The sequence below is a fragment of the Homo sapiens genome, chromosome 15 (assembly GCF_000001405.40).
Source record: "Homo sapiens chromosome 15, GRCh38.p14 Primary Assembly".
NCBI classification, from domain to species: domain Eukaryota; kingdom Metazoa; phylum Chordata; class Mammalia; order Primates; family Hominidae; genus Homo; species Homo sapiens.
Window position 1 is genome coordinate 87,683,493 of NC_000015.10, and position 20,582 is coordinate 87,704,074.

The window sequence follows — 20,582 nt, forward strand, 5'->3', positions numbered from 1 at the left end:
AAATGGGGATTAAAGAATAATCCAAGATACTAGGCATTAACCAGTGCTATCCCAGGCTAGCAGGATATACGATTACCCTCCTCAAAACAAACGTCTACCTATGCAATCAAAGGCTGATGATCAATTAAAGGATGTCAAAAAGGTCTTAGGTTTAAGTTGGTTGAGGGGACTGCCTGGTAGTGGCACTTGTGCTGCCTCCGTGTTTCTGCCTAAGGTGGCTACACTCTACTGAATGTCTAGCCATTTGCTACTACCAAAAAGAAGACGTGCTCCTTTAATTGCATATGTATTCTATAAACAAGCAATAACTACATCCAGACACTGTGTGAGATGTTGGTAATACCCAAGTAAAAAAGCATAGTCCTCTGTCCTCAGAGCTCACAGTCTGACAAGAGTTCATTCATTCATTCAACAAATATTTATTAAGAGCCTATCATGCATCAAGCCAGGTGGTGGGAAAAACTTCCTTGGTCCTTGCCCTGATGAAGCTCCGAGATTGCAATCCTGGCAGCAGAATGAGAATGGGCCATTAATAAAGGTATTTATGAGATACAATGTTGGCCCAAATGAGGGAGGTAGCAGTTGTGCTTGAATGGGTTAGTGGGACTTAAGAGGAGAAAAAAAATGGAGAAGTTATCACCCAGCAGAAGAGGAAAAGATAGTTCATGCAGAGGAAACAGCACAAGAAAAGACTTAGAGGAAGGAAACAGCAAAGTCAGCAAGGAGAGTGGAGGGTAGGCAGGGGTTAGACCATGGTGGAGCTCAGTGGCCAAGCTGAGGACTTTACATGTGACCCATTAGACAACTGGGTGACATCAAAACTCAACATCAGGGCCATGCCATAATCATATGTGTATTTTAGATAGATTGTTTCGAGGGACTCACTGCAAGTCCTCCAAGAGTTAATCTGCATGAACTCAATGTAGACAGTAGCCCATCACATATGCTACCTGCCCTTTCTTGCCTATCCAAGGTTCCTGGATACAGGAGGGCAGTACAGGCCCCCAGACTGCCCTTGTGCCTGCAGAAACATCAAAGTTTTCCAAAATGCTCTCTTCTAGATGCAGAGTGTGTTTTCACAAACCAGAACCCTAACGTGTAGAATCTATGTAAGATTCCAGGAAAGTCATCCAAATAAGTCTTTCAATAGTGCTGGAGAGAAATCATGAAAACAAAGCCTTGCCAGGCTGTTGTAATACTCCAGATTAGTTGATGGCTGAATTATTATGCAAATTTGAGCCCCCATGACCTAGGAATACATAACCTCTCTAAAATAGCACAATTATAAGACTTGATATTATGCTATGCCCATTTTCCAGTCATCTAGAGTGGTGAGTCTATCTCATCCAGAATGGACATGGATGAGAGTTACTCTCAATGTCAAATGATCTGCTAGCTGCCACTGGTCATGTCTCCCCATCCCGGCATTCTCCTACTGACTCCAGACTGGCCTCATCCTCTCTCTTTTGGGCAGCAGCTTGTGTGCTACATAGTCTGCTTATTCAATACAAACCAATTTTTGATCTTAGGCCTAAAGCTTAGAGTTCTTCAGTATATATAGATTTTGCTTCACTCATAAAGACTATGCAAGGAATGACAACTAGGCAGTTCCCCAGAGTTCCAAAATGACCCAGATGCCTCACACCAACACAGGATAATTCTGGAAAAGTCTCTCAGAGACTGAGAATACAGTTTCCTAATACTTTCACAAAGAAATAAAACGCAACAGGGATTTCAAATAATCTGCTAGAAATTATCTAAGCATCTCTCTGTAGCCCTCTTTCTCCCCATCAGTAGAGACCACAGATCTTGGCCCACTAATGCACACTGGCAGAACGTCAAGTTGTTTTATTTTTCTATAGCTAATGAATCTGCTTCCAGATCCCATTCTGCTCCTTGGAAAAGACTTTGACAATTTAGAGTAAACTGAGTCCATTCAAAGTTTTCTCGGTACAGTCATGGAATAACCTCCTTCTCTCCTTGGGTTTGGGTCTAAGTTGATTATGTCTACGTAGAGCCAGGGACGGCTGCATAATTTGTCAGGCCCCTTGTTCAAAAATCATTAAGAATTTCAGGACAGTAATAGCAGAGCATTAAACCAACCACTAGGACCTCTAAGAATGAACGCTACGTAACTATATAGATCATGAGCTCAGGAAGCAGGTCTTTCATACTATCATGAGATTGGGATCTACTTTATGCTGGCTTCAGCTAAGAAGGCCACAGTCCATCCAGAATTCAGATCAGTGGTCCAAGCTGGTCTCTGAGACAGCATCCTCATTCCAACCTCAAGACCACTCCAGGCATATATCAAGGCTGAGCTGCTTTTAGATGCATGATGACCCATTGACCCTTGGCCCTTGCCATATTGGCACAAGTATTGTAAGGACAACTAGTTTTTTTGTCACATCATCCAATTAGTCATCTCTATTTCTCTTTTGCTCTGTTCAGCATTCCCCTGCTCCCCAAGCCTAAATAAGGTGGAGAGGGACACTCCTTTATTCTTAGATCCCCAAAGCTCTCTGAAGGGTCTGGCAACTCAAACCTTCAGCTATTGGCTATGCTCAGCCCAAAAAGAGCAGGGGACAGGGTCCCTTTATAGAGATCCACATCAGTATTACTGTCTGGCTCTATCTCCCCAATATTTATTTGTCTTTTAAAATTCACCTTTTAAGAGTCAAGACAGGACATGGTAGCAGAGATATCACGCTGTCTTTAGCACATGGGATCTCAGTTTTAAAAGCTCATAATTTACTTTATATTGTTACCTAAGTTCTCCTGTAGTCCCCATTCCCTGGAGTAATGGATTCACTCATTTGTTGATTTGTTCAATCAAAAATAAATCAATTAAACACTCTAGTTGCTAAGCACTGACTTTTAGTATTGGAAATATTATGGGAGACAAGACAGACAATGTTCTCATGAGACTTATTTTCTAGAGAGGGGTCAGCAAATGATGACCTGCAGACCAAGCCTCGCCTACTGCCTGTTTTTGTAAATGCAGCTTTAGTGGAACACAGCCACGCCCATTCATTTCCATATTGTTATGACTGCTACAACAGCAGGGCTGAGTTGTTGCAACAGAGACCATATGGCCAGCAAAGACTAAAATATTTATCTTGTCCTTTCAGAGTAAGTTTGCAAACTATTGTTCTGGTAAATGGGCGAGACAGTGAGTAAACAGGTTTTTAAAATACATAATGTATAAGATCAAGTAGTCACGAACTCTATAAAAAAGAAAACGAGGTTGGAGTATTGAGAATTATGGGGTGGCTGGTATGGGGAAGGCTATTTCAGATAGGCTGGTCAGAAAAGTGTTTTCTGAAGTGTTGGCATCAGAGCTCAGATGGAAAGGTGAGAGAAGGAACCACAGGAGTACCTGAGAGAATAAAGGACGCAAATGCCCTGAAGAACAGAATTAGCTTATCCTACTTGGAAATCCCACTCAGCAAAGCCTAGTTGGAATGGAGTAGGGCCAAGGAGTAGAAGAAAATATATATTGTGTAATATATCAAAATCATATCGCATTATATGTCTTTGCTTTTTCTGGCCTTGATAATGGTAAATTTCAGAGGATGGTGACAGCCAGGAAAACATTCACAACCATTTTTGGACTGCTTCCTTTTCCACAGCTTCCATTTATAGATCATTTCTTGTCTTTTTATCTGTAGATAAACTATAAATGTTGGAAAATATTAGAAAGAAACACTACATGAATAACACTACAGTTCATCTGATGAACTGACCATAAATGAGGGACATAGCACCCCAGTTCCCCTACCCACCATCAACGTGACTTAAAATAGAAGACACTCTTTAGTTTGCTGTAATGGAAAGAGGGTGGGCTTGGGTGTCACACAGATGCTTTCTTGGCTGACAAGCAATTTACCTTCTCTGAGCCACAATTTTCTAATCCAGAAAATGAGGTTAATAATACCAGCCTTGGGGATTTTTATAAAGAATAAATGGCATAGTGCATGAGAAAGTCACTGGCTGGATTCCTGGGTGCTAACTGGATGCGAGTCCCCCAGTCTCACCCTTCCTCCCTGCCTTGTTTGCCAGTAGCACAGCACAGCTTGTATGATTCATGACCTAACTCTCGCTCCTTCTGATCCTTGATCAGTCTGTCTAGTGTCTCCAGAGGCAGCGTCACCTGCCCTCGCTGTATGGGCAGTGTTGACATGAGAGATGAGCAGTGCCCGCTCGTACCTCGTTGATGCCTCGGAGTGGGCAATGGATTAGCCTTTGAGTACAGACATTTTACTTCTCCCTCCAGAGGCTTCTCTGCTTGAGCCTGCCCAGCCTGCTTTTAGACTGTGCTAAAATCACTGGCCAATTTGATTAAGTTGGAAAAGAAAGAAACAGCCTTTTGACTGAAATTGATGAATGATTTCAGATTATCTAGGCCTGAGGGGATCTGAGTCTAGCAGCATCAGCATCACCCAGGAGCTTATTAGAAGTACAGATTCTCAGGTCACATCCCAGGCCCACAGACTCAGAATTTCCATTTTAACAAAAGCCTTCTGTGATCTACATGCACATTAAAGTTTGAGGACCACTGGGATAGACTAGGGGTTCTTAATCTAGCTTTTACACAGGTGACTTGATCCCATCCTGAAGTGTTTCCCTTAGTCTGCTAATTTTTGAATGTGTCATGGATGATTCTCATGTGCAGCCAGGGTTGAGAACCACTAGTTTGTGTCAACTTCTCATAAGGCTCAGCAGAATTATAGGTCGGGCTCAAAATTGCACAGTGGATGTCTAACAGAATTGGGATTAGAACTATAACCTCCAAATGCCCAGTGTTACATTAATTACTTTGTGTCCCATTGCCCCTCCCTGTGCAGATGGGTAAGGATGTATGTTCACTTTTATAATGTCTGTAAATTGATCATGGCAAACAGTTTCAGAATTCACACTTCTAAGTCATCAAATCTATGCAAATCAAACTCTCAAAAAGGCTGTACTGCAAAATTTTCACTCAAGTTTATAAATGAGAACAGGAGATTTTCTGAAATATCTCCACCACGTATCTCTCTGAATGAAGTTTGATAGCCAGTTCTTTTTCCTAGAATACTGTGTATTTAACTAACTCCTTTCTTCTAATAACCACCTTCTTCTGCTTGTTTAACTTTTAAACTTAGTACATCTTCTAAGCCCCACACCAAAACTATACTTCTTTTTTTTTTTTTTTTTTTTTTTTGAGACAGAGTCTCGCTCTGTCACCCAGGCTGGAGTGCAGTGGCACGATCTCTGCTCACTGCAACCTCCGCCTCCCAGGTTCACACCATTCTCCTGCCTCAGCCTCTCAAACAGCTGGGACTACAGGCGCTGGCCACCATGCCTGGCTAATTTTTTATATTTTTAGTAGAGACTGGGTTTCACCATGTTAGCCAGGATGGTCTCGATCTCCTGACCTCGTGATCCACACACCTCGGCCTCCCAAAGTGCCGGGATTACAGGTGTGAGCCACCATGCCCAGCCAATTATACTTTCTTTTTAACCATCTCTATGATTTCCCTAAAAATGGACTTCCTTCCTATCAACATCCCTGTTTGATCATGTGGATCTCGTGAAGGAGAGCGGCAGAGATAGTGCTTAGCAAATAGTCCAGGTTTCCATCTCCACATTCTGCAACCACTTGCAGATAGACTGAAGCCATGTGACTAGTTCATGCAAACGGACCCTGAGCAGAAGTTTTCTGTATCACTGCTCGGCTGAGACATTTAAGAGACAGCCTGCTAGCTCCATCTCTATCTTCTGGGGGGAAAACTTGGAAGCTATGTGTTTATATGGTACTGTCACAAAGTTAAGAGAACCTGGATTCCTGTGCCACCAGATGGAAGAGAGTCTCCACCCACCCACATTGGATACAATGGGAGTGAGAAATAAATGTGTTGTGCTACACTACTAGACTAGAGGGGTTGTAGGTAGCAGCAGCTGGCATTGCATAAGAAGTACATGACACTAGTGTTTCTCAAACTTTAAAGTGCATGTGAATCATCTAAGGATCTTGTTAAAATATTAAATTTCAGCAGGTCTGGGAGGGATCTGAGACTCTGCATTTCTTATAAGCTCCCACTACTATCAATGCTACTGGTCCTTGGACAACAAATTGGCTAGGAGGATACTAAAGCATTCTTCATTGCTCTATAATAGTTGTACACATATTTTCTCTAACTAGACCATCAGGTCTTTTTGGCACATTTCAGTATTCCTGCCACAAACACATTGAAAAAAGTTGAAGAAGATCAAAAATTGCACATTAAGGCCCTCTGAAAATTCCCTCCTTCATAAAAGCAATGAGAAAACTGGCAAAAACTTGAAAAACAATTAACTTTTTCAGAAGGCTGGAAGTTAGCTAAAAGTTTGCAGAAATCCGGGGATCACTTATGCAAGAAAACTGGCAGAATCTCAGTAAGAACAGTAAGCTCTGTGGCATTTTAACTTGTCCTAGTTCCTCTGCCCATTCTCCAGCTCTATATTCATCTTGAAAAATAACTGATCAGATAGATTCACAATGAAAACCACTATTCTGGCATCCAGTGAGGGGAGCAAAAGAGGATGTGGCTCTTTCAAAGCCTTATTCTCAGAAAATTGTCAAATAAAAAACTGCACCAAAATGAAAGATAAAATAAGACATTTCTGGATAAACAAAAACTGATCATTTCTTGCTAGCAGACCTGACTTAACAAGAAATACTAAAGGGTTGCAAATATTATTGCAAATATATATTATTGCAAAAAGCAATAATATATATTGGGCACAAGATAAACACAAAAGTCCACTGTATTTTTATATACTAGCAATGAACAATCTGAAACTAAAAAAAATAATTCAAATAATTCAAATTTGCAATATTATCAAATAACAGGAATAATTCAATAAAAGAAGTGCAATACATGTACACTGTAATCTAGAAAAACATTGTTAAAAAAATTAATGAAGATCTACATAAATGAGAATACATCTCATGTTCATGGATTGGAAGTCTTAATATTGTTAAGATGACAATTAAGCCCAAATAGATTTAGAGATGAATGCAATCTCTATCAAAATCTCCCACTGGCTTTAATAGAAATTGCTAAGCTGATTCTAAAAATACTACAGGCATTCAAGGGTTTCAGAATAACCAAAAGAATCTTGGAAAGAGCAAAGTTGGACGACACATTCCATATATATATTTATATATATGTATTTTATATTTATATATTTTATATTTATATATATTTATATATATTTTATATTTATATATATTATATTTATATATATTTTATATTTATATATATATATATATATATTTTTTTTGGGGGGATTAGCTTTTGCTCTGTCACCCAGGCTGGAGTCCAGTGGTGCAATCATGGCTCACTGCCACCTCGAAGTCCTGGGTTCAAATGATCCTCTTGTCTCAGCCTACTGAGTAGCTGGGACTACAAGCATGCACCACCAAACCCTGCTAATTTAAAAAAAAAAAAAAAGTAGACATGGGGTCTTGCTATGTTGCCCAGACTGGTCTTGAACTCCTGGCTTCAAGCAATCCTCCCACCTTGGCCTACTAAGGTGATGGATTATGTACATGAGCCAACATGCTTGACCAGAATAGCCTTTTTAATAAATGGTGTTGAGACAATAGGACATCCACATGCAAAATATGAACTTGGACCAACTGCAACCTTACTGTATATATAAAAATTAACTAAAAATGAATAAAAGGCTTAAAAGTAAGAACTACAACTATAAAACTCTTAGAAGAAAACAAAACCATACATCTTTATGATGTTGGGTTAGAAAATGGCTTCTTGCATCTGACACCAAAAGCAACATGCACCAAAAGAAAAAATAGAGAAACTGAACTTCATCAAAATTAAACTTTTGTGCACCAAATAAAAAATTAAGTGAAAAAGAAACTCAAAGAATATGAGAAATATTTTAAAATCATTTATCTGATAGTATCTACAACATACAAATAACTTAAAATTCAACAATAAAGAGACAAATAGCCAAGTTTTTTAAAAATGGGCAAAGGACATGAAAAAATATTTCTCTAGAAGAAGATATACAAAGATAAGCATGGCCAATTACTATCACCATCATTAGTTATTAAGGAAATGCAAATCAAAATCACAATGAGAACCTACTTCACATTCACAAGGATGGCTATAATAAAAAAGACAATAACAAGTCTTGGTGAAGATGTTGGGAAGTTGGAACCCTCATACGTTGCTGGTGGAAATACAAAGGATGTATCCACTCTGGAAGCAGTGTGGCAGTTTCTCAAAAAGTGAAACATACAGTTACCATATTGCTCAACAATTCTACTCCTAGATACATACCAACGAAAATTTAAAATATAGTTCCACAAAGAAACTTGTACAAAAATATTCATAGTAGCATTATTATTATAAAAGTGGAAACAGCCCAATGTCCATCAGCTGACAAATGGCTAAATGAAATGTGGTACATCTACATAATAAATTGTTATTCAATTATGCTATAATATGTATGAAGCTTGAAAATATGGTGCTAAGTGAAAGAAGCCCAATGCAAAAGGTCAGATAGTGTATAATTTATATTAAATGTCTAGTATAGACAAATCTATAGAAGTAGAAAGATTAGTGGTTACCAAGGACTAACGGAGAGGAGAATTGGCTGCTGGTGAGTCCTCATGATAGAGAGTTTGTTTTTGAGGTGATGAAATTATTCTGGAATTAGAGTGGTGGTGATTGTACAATCTTATGAATTTACTGAAAATCACTGGATTGTACACTATGAAAGGGAGAGATTTATGGTATACAAATATTTTCATAAAATTACCAAAGGAACCAGATACAACTTTTTATGTTAACAGGTGTAACTGAATGAAATAAAAACAAAATGCAAACAAAATGAAAGCTGAATAGGAAGCAGGAGGAAAGGAGAATGTGTTGTATTTGATTAACAGCATTACTCTCCTAGAATTCCCCAAATAAGCTTTGTTTTTCAGATTTTTCATATGCTGTTTCTTCCCTGAAGGACTTTTTTTTTTTCACTCTGGTCTGCCCTGGAAAACAATTTCTTAACCTCAAAATTCGGCTCCAATATGAATCGTTCCAGCCTCTCCCATGCATTTAGTCCCATTTTCCCACATTGTCATAGAACTTTATACAAGCTTTCATGGTAGTGAATATGCATTTTCATTTCTTATTGAGGCCTAATTTATATATAGCAGAGTGCACAAATCCTAAGTGTAATGATCCATGTATATCTGACTCTGTATACGATGATATATCTACCCCCAGATCAAGATATAGCTTTTGAAACTCCAGGAAGTCTGCCTTGTGCCTCTCCCAGTTAGATAATCAAAGAGAATCACTCTTCTGACTTCTATCCAAATAGATCAGTTTTGCCTGTTTTTGAACTTCATATCCATGAACTCATGCAATATGTGTTCTTTAAAGTTTAAATTCTTCATTTAACACTCTGAAATTCATGAATGTATGCACGTAGCATTTATTTTTCATTGCTATATAATATTTCACTGTATTAACACATCACAATTTATCTATCCTTTCAAAGGTTGATAGATGATTAACTTTATTTCCATTCTGAGGCTATTATGAATTAAGTTTCTAGGAAACTTCCTATGTATGCCTTTTAGAAGACATAAGCACTCATTTCTGTTGGGTATAAACTCAGGAGTAGAAATGCTGGATCATAATACATCAATATGTTTTGCTTTACTAAGTACGGAGAAACAGTTTTCCAAATTGGCTGTCCCGTTCTGCAACCCCAGAACAATGCATGAGAGCATGGAACTGTGTTTTAATCGCCTGTCACCCCACTCCACTGTTGGCACTTTGAGGGCATATACTCTTTCACTCTGTGTCCCAAATACACGGTTGGACGTGGAGAAGATAGGAAATGATGCCACCAATACCCTATCCCAGGGACCAGGAAACCTTTTCTGTAAAGGGCCAGACAGCAAATATTTTAAGCTGTGCAAAGCATACTGTCTGTGTTGCAACTACCTACCTCACCACTGTAGCTACAGTAGCTATACATGATTTATAAACAAATGAACATGGATGTGTGCCAATAAGACTTTATTCATAAAAACAAGTGACAAGTTGGAGTTGGCCTGTGGTTCATAGTTTACCAAGCCCCACAATCCTCAATCCCACCCCCATCATTCTCTGACCTCAACTCCCACCACAATTCCCCCTGCTCTCTTCCACAGAGCCACACTGGTCTCCAGCACACTCCCACCCCAGGGTCTCTTCATTTCCAGACCCTCTGTCTGGAATGTTCTTTCATCAGATTTGCCTGGGTGGTCACCACCTCATCTCTTCAGCTCTTTAGTCAAATGTGACATTTTTGGTAATATTTCCTCATATTTCTTTACTATTTTTTTTTGTTTTGTTTGCTTGCTTTGGAGACAGTTTTGCTGTTGTCACCCAGGCTATAGTGCAATGGTGCAATATCAGCTCACTGTAACCTCTGCCTCTTGGATTCAGGAGATTCTCCTGCCTCAGCCTCCTGAGTAGCTGGGATTACAAGAATCTGCCACCACGCCCAGCTAATTTTTGTAATTTTAGTAGAGACGGGGTTTTGCCATGTTGGTCAGACTGGTCTCGAAGTCATAACCTCAGGAGATCCACCCACTTTGGCCTCCCAAAGTGCTGGGATTACAGGCATGAGCTACTGCGTCCAGAATTTCTTTCCTATTTTTCTCCATAGCGTTTATTACCATCTAACGCATCATGTTTTTTAATATTTTGTGTCTTATCTATATCATCACCCCCCAACACAAACAGATGAAGAGTGGTTTTTGACTTCTTTTTTTCATTCAGTGATGTATTCCCAGCACCTCAGTGTCTAGCTCATAGTAGATGCCTGGTATGTATTTGTTGAATGTGTGAAGGCGCAGAGAGCTCCCGGCCCCAGGGTCCAACTACAGGAAGCCCATGGCTACAGTGCTCGCTCTGACAGCTATGACTAGAGTAGATTCCACTTCCCACTATAGACATGTGGTCATGAAACCCAGGCACCCTAGTAGTAGGAGCACAGGGGCTGAGAAATAGTCCTCGCCAGACAGCCCAGGCTGAACAGAGGGGCATGACAAGATGCAAGTCGGCCACAGCAATTTAATGCAGATTTCTGTGGGTTATTATGCAAAAATATCCTACTTATATCTAAATGGAATACCCATGTGACTTGCCAGGCAAGGCCTAAATAATTATGTCTTTATGCTATAATTACACATTCCCACCAAATTACAGAAATTAGGAATGGAAAACAATAATGCTGCAATGAAACCTTGTTTCCAATCCGAGGTCGTCTCTCCACACAGGTCAGAGTGTTTCACAACAGTCTTCTCCCAGAGGGAAGAAGTTCAGCTCCCAGTTAGCAGAAAGGAAAACTGAGCTACAGGGTTAACATAGCTCCTTTCAGACTACATTATGTTATTGATTGAGCAAAGTCAGGAAGAAAACCCCAGGCAATTATTCCATCCACTTCACCACTCTTCCTGGGGAAATCCAGTTGTCCTAACCTTCAAAGCCTTCTGCGAAGAAAAGTTTCAGGCTCTGAACACCACCCTATGATGTCCATTTAATTACTCCTTCATAGAATAAGTAACCCATTGATAAAGCTCATACCTTAACTAATGTGATTCTTTCATTAACCTTGATATTGTAAGTGTGGAAATTGCATTTCCACACTTATATATTATATATGGAAATTGCATTTATTCGTGTTGTGTCTATCTATAAATCTCCAAACATACCCCATGGAAAGAAGTTTGGCCTATGCCAGAGGCTCCCCCACTCCAGAGATAACTTTGCGCACACAACCCCTCACAATGCTGTCTACCTGCTTCAGACAGGCTGGAGATGCTTTTCTGAAACAAGAGATGAAAATAACAATTATTGAGCAGGTATATGTTCCAGGCTCTATGTTAAATGCTTCTAAGTACATCTGTTGTTTAACATTGCTCAGATAGTATTGTTATCCTTGTCTGTGGGAAGTAGAGAAGTTGAGATTTAGAAAGGTTAAAAAAATTGTCCAATGTCACACACTTGGATAGTAGCAGAGTGATGATTCACATGGAGGTATCTTTCATTCTAGAACACTACAGTCAACTTGAATTCTTGGTTAAGAGCAGAAATGATTCCCAAGTAAACCACCGTCTTAGGAAAAGCTAGCTGTAACTCTGAAAACCATATAAATACCAGAATAATTTTTGAATAATGATATTAATCATCATCATAATCCTTACATATTCATTTTTAAACAGTTTCAGTGAGATATAACTCACATATTATAGTTCTACTTAAAGTGTACAAGTCAATGGTTTTTAATATAATCAGAGTTGTGCAACCACGATGACAATTTGAGCTTAGAGTATGTTCAGCACCCAAAAGAAATCCCATTAGCAGTCATTCTTACTTCCAAAACAACCACTCCAGCCCCAAGGCAACCACTAATCTATCTGTTCTAGATTTTCCTATTCTGACCATTTCCTGTAAATGGAATTATACAATATGTGGTCTTTTGTGACTGGCTTCTTTGACTTAGCATGATGTTTTCCAGGTTTATTCACAGTGTAGCATGTATCAGAACTGAATTACTTTTTATTGCCAAATAATAGTTCATTGTACGGCTGTACCACATGTCGTTTATCCATTTTTTAGTAAACGGACATTTGGGTATTAGGGCATAATGAATAATGCTGCTAGGAACATTCATACATACTTATGTGTATGTATAGAACTGTGTTTTCATTTCTCTATCTTGAATTACTCGAGTTGAACTACCGGGTCATATCTAGATCTATGTTTCACTTTTCAAAAAACTGCCAAACTGTTTTCCAAACAGACTGCACCACATTCCCACCAGCAATGTATGAGAGTTTCAGTTTCTCCACATCTTCACCAACACTTGTTGTGGTCTATTTTATTATAGCCATCCTAATGAATGTAAAGTAGGATCTGATTGTGGTTTTGATTTGCATTTTACTAGTGACTTATGATACTAAGCATCTTTTAATGTTCTTACTGGCCAATTGTGTGTCTTCTTTTGAGAAATGTCTATTTAAACCATTTTCCCATTTTTAATGGATTATCTTTTTATTATTGAGTTGTATCATTATATGTATTTTCTGGATATGTCTGTTTTCAGATAGGTGGTTTGCAAGTACTTTATCCAATTCTTTGGACTTTTAATAGTCCAAAGTTTTAAAATTTTAATGAAGTCCAATTTATCCACTTTTTCTTTCATTGCTTGTACTTTTGCTGTCATAACTAAGAAACCACTTGCTAACCCAAAGTCATTAAGATTTACTGTTTTCCTCTCAATAAACTAGGTATTGATGGAACATAGCTCAATAATAAGAGCTATTTATGACAAACCCACAGCCAATATCATACTGAATAGGCAAAAACTGGAAGCATTCCCTTTGAAAACTGGCACACAACAGGGATGCCCTCTCTCACCACTCCTATTCAACATAGTGTTGGAAGTTCTGGCCAGGGCAATCAGGCAAGAGAAAGAAATAAAGGGTATTCAATTAGGAAAAGAGGAAGTCAAATTGTCCCTGTTTGCAGATGATATGACTGTATATTTAGAAAACTCCATCGTCTCAGCCCAAAATCTCCTTAAGCTGATAAGCAACTTCAGCAAAGTCTCAGGATACAGAATCAATATACAAAAATCACAAGCATTCCTATACACCATTAACAGACAAACAGAGAGCCAAATCATGAGTGAACTCCCATTCACAATAGCTACAAAGAGAATAAAATACCTAGGAATCCAATGTACAAGGGATGTGAAGGACCTCTTCAAGGAGAACTACAAACCACTGCTCAATGAGATAAAAGAGGACACACACAAATGGAAGAACATTCCATGCTCATGGGTAGGAAGAATCAATATTGTGAAAATGGCCATACTGCCCAAGGTAATTTATAGATTCAATGCCATCCCCATATCAAGCTACCAATGACTTTCTTCACAGCATTGAAAAAAACTACTTTAAAGTTCATATGGAACTAAAAAAGAGCCCGCACTGCCAAGACAATCCTAAGCAAAAAGAACAAAGCTGGAGGCATCATGCTACCTGACTTCAAACTATACTACAAGGCTACAGTAACCAAAACAGCATGGTACTAGTACAAAAACAGACACATAGACCAATGGAACAGAACAGAGGCCTCAGAAATAATATCACACATCTACAACCATCTAATCTTTGACAAACCTGACAAAAACAAGAAATGGGGAAAGGATTCCCTATTTAATAAATGGTGCTGGGAAAACTGGCTAGCCATATGTAGAAAGCTGAAACTGGATCCCTTCCTTACATCTTATACAAAAATTAATTCAAGATGGATTAAAGACTTAAATATTAGACCTAAAACCATAAAAACCCTAGAAGAAAACCTAGGCAATACCATTTAGGACACAGGCATGGGCAAGGATTTCATGTCTACAACACCAAAAGCAATGATGACAAAAGCCAAAATAGACACATGAGATCTAATTAAACTAAAGAGCTTCTGCACAGCAAAAGAAAGTACCATGAGAGTGAACAGGCAACCTACAGAATGGAAGAAAATTTTTACAATTTACCCATCTGACAAAGGGCTAACATCCAGAATCTACTAAACTTAAATTTACAAGAAAAAAAACAAACAACCCCATCAAAAAGTGGGAAAAGGATATGAACAGACACTTCTCAAAAGAAGACATCTATGCAGCCAACAGACACATGAAAAAATGCTCATCATCACTGGTCATTAGAGAAATGCAAATCAAAACCACAATGAGATACCATCTCACACCAGTTAGAATGGCAATCATTAAAAAGTCAGGAAACAACAGATGCTGGAGAGGATGTGGGGAAATAGGAACACTTTTACACTATTGGTGGGAGTGTAAACTAGTTCAACCATTGTGGAAGACAGTGTGGCGATTCCTCAAGGATCTAGAACTAGAAATACCATTTGACCCAGCGATCCCATTACTGGGTATACACCCAAAGGATTATAAAGCATGCTACTATAAAGACACATGCAATGTATGTTTTTTGCTATTCACAATAGCAAAGACTTGGAACCAACCCAAATGTCCATCAATGATAGACTGGATTAAGAAAATGTGGCACATATACACCATGGAATACTATACAGCCATAAAAAAGGAATGAGTTCATGTCCTTTGCAGGGACATGGATGCAGCTGGAAACCATCATTCTGAGCCAACTATCACAAGGACAGAAAACCAAACACTGCATGTTCTCACTCATAGGTGGGAAATGAACAATGAGAACACTTGGACACAGGGCATGGAATATCACACCCCAGGACCTGTCGTGGGGTGGGGGGCAGGGGGAGGGATAGCATTAGGAGAAATACCTAATGTAAATGATGAGTTAATAGGTATAATAATAAAAAAAAGATTTACTGTTTTCTTCTAAGAGATATAGTTTTAGCTCTTACTTTTCTTATCCATTTGGAGTTAATTTTTATGTATTATTTAAGGTAATGAGTCCAAGTTCATTCTTTTTGCATGTGGATATTTAGTTGTCTCAATACCATCTGTTGATAAGACTAATTTCTCCATTAAATTCTTTTTGGCAGCCTTGTAAAAAATCAATGGCCATAGATTTATGGTATATTTCTGGACTATAAATTCTATTCCATTGGTCTATATAGCTATCTTTATGCCACTATCACACTGTTTTGATTATTGAATAAGTTTTGAAATCAGGAAGTATGAGTTTTCTAACTTTGTTCTTTTTCAAGATTTTGGCTACTCTGGGTCTCAAGCAATTTCATATGAATTTCAGAATCAGCTTGTCAATTTCTACAAAAGAAAGCCTAGTTGGTATTTTGATACTGATTGTGTTGAATTTTAGATCAATTTGGGCAATAGTGCCATCATAACAATACTAAACTTCTCATCCATGAGTACAGAATGTCTCATTTATTTACATCTTTATTTTCACAATGCTTTGTAGTCTTCAGTGTAGAAGTCTTGCACTTTTTGTCAAATTTATTTTTAAGTATTTTATCTCTTTTGGTGCTATTTTACATTGAATTGCTTAATTTTTGGATTACTTCTTGCTAGTATATAGAAATACAATTGATTTTTTTATATTGATCTTGATTCCACAACCTTGCTGAACTTATTCATGAGATCTCATGCTTTCATATTGATCCTGGTTTAAAAATTAACATTCTTCATCTCATTTAAAGTTGGAGCTGTAAAAAGCATATCAACTACTCAATGTGCTTATATGTCAAATAAAGAATCTGATACTAAAAGAGGGTCAATAACTGGACCAAAGACACACAGTGATAGAGCAGAGATTTAAAAGTCCATCACAGTGGCAGTGATTGAACCCATAGGAACTGATGAGGCTATCCAGAGAATGGTCTAAGTGCAAAACCTGGGAAGAAGAAGAGACCTGGGCAATGGAGACAGAGAAGTCACCAATGGAGAGATAGAAGAACAGAACAGAGCAATCACTGTAGAGGGACAAGAAATGGGAAGGAGAGTGAGACCTGAGATCAAAGGAGGTGAGCCGGTGGTGGTACCTGAACACCAGTCACTTAGTCTTTCACAGCACCTATTTCTTCATCAACATATGAGAATTATACTATTTGCGTTAAGAGGAGTTCATGAGACCACATATGTAAAAGCACTGTGTGAAGACCAAAAGGTTCAACAAATTCAAATTATTATTTCAATTATTAAGGTATTAATAACCAAAAATGTCACCTGTGGAATAGCCATTGGATGTAAATATCAGACTGCGGCATGCAGAGGTACCCAGAAAAGACGGTCTAGAGCAGCTGTGAGACAGCAGTTAGGAGGGGGCTGATGAACACATGGGTACTGCTGGCATGGGAGTCTGAACTCACTCTTCTGAGATGTGTGAGGGTAAAGGAAATGGGAGCAGCCACACAGAAGCATAAGAACTTTCTCTGGTTGAGGGAGATTGGCTCTATTTCTTTTGAGATTTGAGTGGGGAGACATGAGCAGGTTTGGAAGCAAAATGGAGGCAAGAAAGAGAGGGAGACATGGGTAGGAGAAAAAAAAAAACAGTAGCTTAAGACGAAAGTTAAGTTTAGGCAAGAAGGAGAGACCCTTCTTCCTGAAAAGCAAGCCGGGTGATATGGTTTGGATCTGTGTCCCCACACAAGTCTCATGTTCAATTGTAATCCCCAGTGTTGGAGGTGAGGCCTGGTGGGAGGTAATTGATCATGGGGGCGGTTCCTAATGGTTTAGCACCATCCCCCTTGGTCACAATAGTGAGTGAGTTCTCCTGAGAACTGGTTGTTTAGAAGTGTGTGGCACTTCTCCCTTCCCTCTGCTCCGGCCGGGAAAGAGGTGCCTGCTTTCCCTTCACCTTTTGTCATTATTGGAAGCTTCTTGAGGCCTCCCCAGGAGCTGCTATGCTTCCTCTAATGCTTGAAAAACCATGGGCCAATTAAACCTCTTTTCTTTATAAATTACCCGGCTTCAGGTGTCTCTTTATAGAAATGCAAAAACGGACTAATCCACTGGGTAAAGAGGAAAGATGAACAGATGGGGAAATGCTGATATGAATAAAAAACAAACACATTTATCAAATCATGCCAGGCACTCTGTTAAGATGCTTAATTTTCATTAATGTATCACAAAACACGCACAGAACCCAGCACAGGGACGGGCAGCCAAGTCTCGCGGGAATGAAGGTCTGGGAACCTGGTCTGTGAATTAGGCTGGTCTACCCACATGCTGCCTAGCATTAGCTAATGGAAACCCTTTACAGACTCACCCCAGCCCAGCCCCACTGCTGCAAGCCCCCTAGACCCACTCTGCCAGGCCCCACCCTGCTCACTACTCACTCACTGTGTCTGGTCAGGTGTTGCCCTTTTCATTGTCTCTCATCTCCAGGTCAAGGTCCTCCCTTGAGCTTGAAATTGGCTTCTGTGCTCTTCATCCTTGGAGCTCTCTAAGGTGTTACTTATACCCCCTGGCCTTTCCCTCTCCCCTCCTGTTCCAGAAAGGCATCCCATTGAGGACCTTATTTCAGCATCATCAGCCCCTCCCTGGCCCAGGAATGGGAGTTTTAGCATTAGAAAAGCAATAAGACAAAAATATAAGGATAGCTGAGGGCCCACCTAAAGTTGGGATTTAATGCTTATCTGCAAAATAAGTGTCCTCATCTGCTGCTTTCTATCCTTTGACCACATCGTCCCATTTCCTTCTCTCCCACCTCCACCCTTGGTAACCACTGTTTTATTCTCTACCTCTGCATATTTCACTTGTTTTTTTAGATTCTTGATGGATATGTTAATTTGTTTTACTATAGTAACCATTTTACTATCTATATGTATCTCATGGCATCATGTCATCTACCTTACCTATACATAACAACATTTATTTTTGAAACCTAAGTATCTGTAAAACATGGGTCACAAACTGAAATAGCAGGGAACTTGAATGCAGGTCATATGGAACTTGTAGTAAACTGCAGCACTCAGGCACTGCCTGCCTAATGGGGACAGCCTCCACTCAGCTCCAGCCAATGACTGCCATGGGGAAATGTGAGGGAATCCCCCCAGAGAAGATCTTCCAATTTTTCATGAGATGCAGAAATTTCAAGTGCGTTTAATGTGCCTTCTCCCAATCTTTAAATGTAAGCAGCTAATTTGGAAAATCTTAAACATAGTATAAACCAAACAAATTATGTCTGCAAACCATACTTGACTCTTCAGCAATCGGTTTGCACTCTGTGTCTCCATTCTCACACTAACATTATCCCGAAGGACCTCGCTTTCAGGAAAAATTGCTTCTCAGTGCCTTCCTGGTAGGCATCTACCTCAAGCTGGCCTTTCCTCTGAAGCTGGGACAGCAAAGTACAACCTCTGGGCCAGATCAGGCCCCTGGACCAAATCCAGCCTACGGCCTGATTTTATAAATAAAGTTTTATTGGAACACAGCCACACATTCACTTCCCTATTATCTATGGCTACTTTTCCACTATAACAGCAGAGTCGAGCAGCTGCCAAAGAGACTATAAGGCCCCTAAAGCCTAACATATTTAACACTCAGCCCTTTACAGAAAAACTTTGCTAACCACTGCTCTAGGGCAAAGAAGATTCACAACAGGTGGAAGAATTGCATATTGTTAATCCATGAAGAAGCCTCCTGGAGATGTGTGATGTGGTGGCCCCACTCAATACTGATGCCTGCTGCTTTTCTCTCATTATCTGGAGCTCTTCAACAGATGAGGAAGAGGGCTTGGCAAGTGGCTTCTTATAGGAGAAACGACAGGTGTTTGGAAATAGCAGATTTTATTAGCAACTCCTGAGCAAGTCACTTAGCCTTCCTAAACTCCCAAATGAGAATCCGTACAACTGGGAAGAAATTTCAACCTTCAGGGTTGTCCTAAGGATTACATTAGATTTGCATATTAAAATTCTGATACACAGTTCCTGGCCTATGTTAGGTGCTCAATTAACATCAGTCACATTTAAAAGCACTTTGAATACGGCAAAAATCAAGGATTTCTCAAGAATCCAGTTGTGCTTGATAGCATTTTGAACACTGTAAAACTTAGGATTAGATCAAGAATCCTGATGCTTCCCATAGAAATTAGCCATAGGAAGGTACTGGTGCTGCAGGATAAATCTGCGCTGGCCGGTCACATTCTTTCCCAAGTCTGTTCTTTATCCAGCCCATCTTGGCCATCTTACCAACAGTTGGGAGTCTATCTTAAACTGCTTTCTCTCTCTCTGACTGTCTTTCTTTTCCTCTCCCTCTCTCCCTGCCCTGCCCCCCGACCCTTCCTCTTCAGGATCATGAAAATTAGCCAAATTTGTAATTTTGAAAATGAGCTTTTGGTCATCCATCATTTGTCCTGTCACAGCCAAGGGATGTGCCACACATTCCCTGAAACTTAATCTACCAAGGTGCTGGGGAAGATATGTTTCCCATCAGGGCCAGCTCTGAGTGTGAGCTGTACAAGGTGATGAGATAATCACAGATGGGTGATAAATCCAGCAGCAAATGAACGAAGGCCACTGCTAGGTCAGTCCAGCTGCTCAGAACCCCATCTTCAGCCTCAACTGAGTGTGGCCCCACCTCCTCTGTGGCTGAATCGCTGCCCTTAAACTGAAGGGCAGCCAGTAATGGAGCCAGGAATACGCTATCTTCAGCCCTAGGCCTGGTATGTTAGTCTGTTTTCACACTGCTGATAAAGACATGCCCGAATCTGGGAACAAAAAAATGTTTAATTGGACTTACAGTTCCACATGGCTGGGGAGGCCTCAGAATCCTGGCGCGAGGCGAAGAACTCTCCTCACCTGACCGCAGGAAGAGAAAATGAGGAAGAAGCAAAAGCGGAAACCCCTGATAAACCCGTCAGATCTCGTGAGACTTATTCACTATCACGAGAATAGCACGGGAAAGATTGGCCCCCATGATTCAATTACCTCCCCCTGGGTCCCTCCTGCAACACGTGGGAATTCTGGGAGATACAATTCAAGTCGGGATTTTGGCGGGGACACAGCCAAACCATATCACTTGGTGACAGTCTACGACCTCAG

At 39.8% G+C, this 20,582-nt stretch overlaps 1 long non-coding RNA gene across 1 annotated transcript in view; it reads right to left on the bottom strand.

Annotated features, from left to right (window-relative positions):
* LOC102724465 (uncharacterized) overlaps positions 1-20,363 on the bottom strand; it is a 379,687-nt gene extending 359,324 nt beyond the window's left edge. The window contains exon 1 of the long non-coding RNA NR_187944.1: positions 20,281-20,363. This is a non-coding gene — a long non-coding RNA (uncharacterized LOC102724465). The remainder of the gene's footprint in view (positions 1-20,280) is intronic.
* Between the last annotated feature and the right edge of the window lie 219 nt (positions 20,364-20,582).